Source organism: Homo sapiens, chromosome 2, assembly GCF_000001405.40.
Source record: "Homo sapiens chromosome 2, GRCh38.p14 Primary Assembly".
In the NCBI taxonomy this organism is placed as follows: domain Eukaryota; kingdom Metazoa; phylum Chordata; class Mammalia; order Primates; family Hominidae; genus Homo; species Homo sapiens.
This window is the reverse complement of record NC_000002.12, coordinates 59664471-59666065: the sequence shown is the minus strand read 5'-3', so window position 1 is coordinate 59666065 and position 1595 is coordinate 59664471. Positions and strand designations below refer to the sequence as shown.

General features: G+C 44.8%; 1 annotated feature.

Annotated features, from left to right (window-relative positions):
• Nucleotides 416-916: an enhancer, noted in NCBI's record as "H3K4me1 hESC enhancer chr2:59892285-59892785 (GRCh37/hg19 assembly coordinates)". NCBI's record gives its function as "activates a minimal SCP1, AML or CMV promoter by ChIP-STARR-seq in naive H9 embryonic stem cells {active_cell/tissue: H9 hESC(naive)}" and the evidence as "EXISTENCE:reporter gene assay evidence [ECO:0000049][PMID:30033119]".

Here is a 1595-nt window from a genome sequence, read left to right as displayed (position 1 = left end):
CCCTACTCCTCCTCTCTGTCTCTCTCTCTCTCTCTCTCTCTCTCACACACACACACACACACACACACACACACACATGCATACATCCATGCTAAATTCTGAATGGAGGATTTTGCTTTTTTTGGTAGATTTTTATTCCATAGATTATTTTTTATAGGTTTGCAAAATCGGCAAAAATGCATTTCTCAAGTGTCTAGAACATCTAGGTTCTAGATGTTCTGCCTAAGTTGCTGCCTAAGTAATTTCCATCAGGGGAATTTTTGATTCTGTGTCTCTTGAAAACCCTGGGTGTGTTAACCACAACTGTTTTGTACTCATGAGCTTTTATGTAGTCTCTGAGAGGCTACACTTTACTTAATCCTTCCTTCCATTTACAAATAAGTTTATTGTGAAGTCTCATGTGCAAACTCCCAACATTGCCCAATAAATTACCAACCTGACCTTTCGTAGAAATATTGAAGGCTGGTATTGAAACTGTCTTAAAGATGGGAAGGAAATTCCTTGGCCCCCCTCCCACCCCTGCCACCCCACCCCCCAAAGTTTTACACAGTATGCTGCCCATTGGCCTGGGCTGTTTGGCCTGTGTGTCTAGAAAAATTCACTTCCTCCTCCTTCATCTTCTACCTGCCTGACTCGTTACAGCACCAGACAGTTTACATATGTGATCCTTCCTATTTAGAAAATTAATGGTGTTTTCTGGCTCCAAATCACAGCTTGTGGTGCTCTGCAGGCGATGAAAAACTTGGCCAGCTTCAGCAGCAAGGCAGCCATTAGAAAATTAACCCTTGGTGACCAAGGAGCAAAGGTAGGCGAGCGAGGTCCTGGAGACGTGGCAGGCTGTAGCTTTCAGGTGTCGATACATATGTTAGCCGTGTAGGAACAGCACACACGGGGCCCCCTGAGAGCTTCTAGCTAGCATGTTTGTGGTTGGCCACTGCGGAGAGGGCACGGACATAGCACTTGGCAGCCAATGCAACCAATATGCCACGCTTTTTATCAGAGCTCAGGAGAAAGCCCAGAGCCCAGCTTTGGAATACCAGCCATCGCTGTCTTGGCTCCACCTGATTAAAAGATGTGCCATTCAACGCCATCCCTGTGTGCCTCCATTTCACACCCCGTGCTGGGCTGGCCTCAGGAAGTAGCTGACCTCGGGAAGACTGAATCATAAAAGCAAGGGTGGGAGAAAACTTTAAAGTGATTAATTCCTCATTAACTTAATTCTCCCCTGCTTGCTTTCTGTTAGGGTTTCTTTTTTTTTTTTTTTTTTTTCACCTTTGGTACATGAAAGCTAGAGAAGCTATTTCATTTTGTAGTCTTGTAATTGTGTGTGTGTGTGTGTGTGTGTGTGTGTGTGTGTGTAGGGGAACCAGGGTCAGGGTACAGGGCTTGGAAGTGTCAATACTAACTTTGGGAATCTGATTTTGAGGGCAATATTGCTTGGATCATTGTTAGAGTTTTCTCTTATCACAGGAAAGACAGAGCCAACATGTTTTGAAGGCTCAACACTGGTCCTGGATTTATCCCCCACAAACGTAAAATCATTTTCCTTGCTCTGTCCCAGTGAAACTGGCATCAGTGACCCCAAGGATCCAATG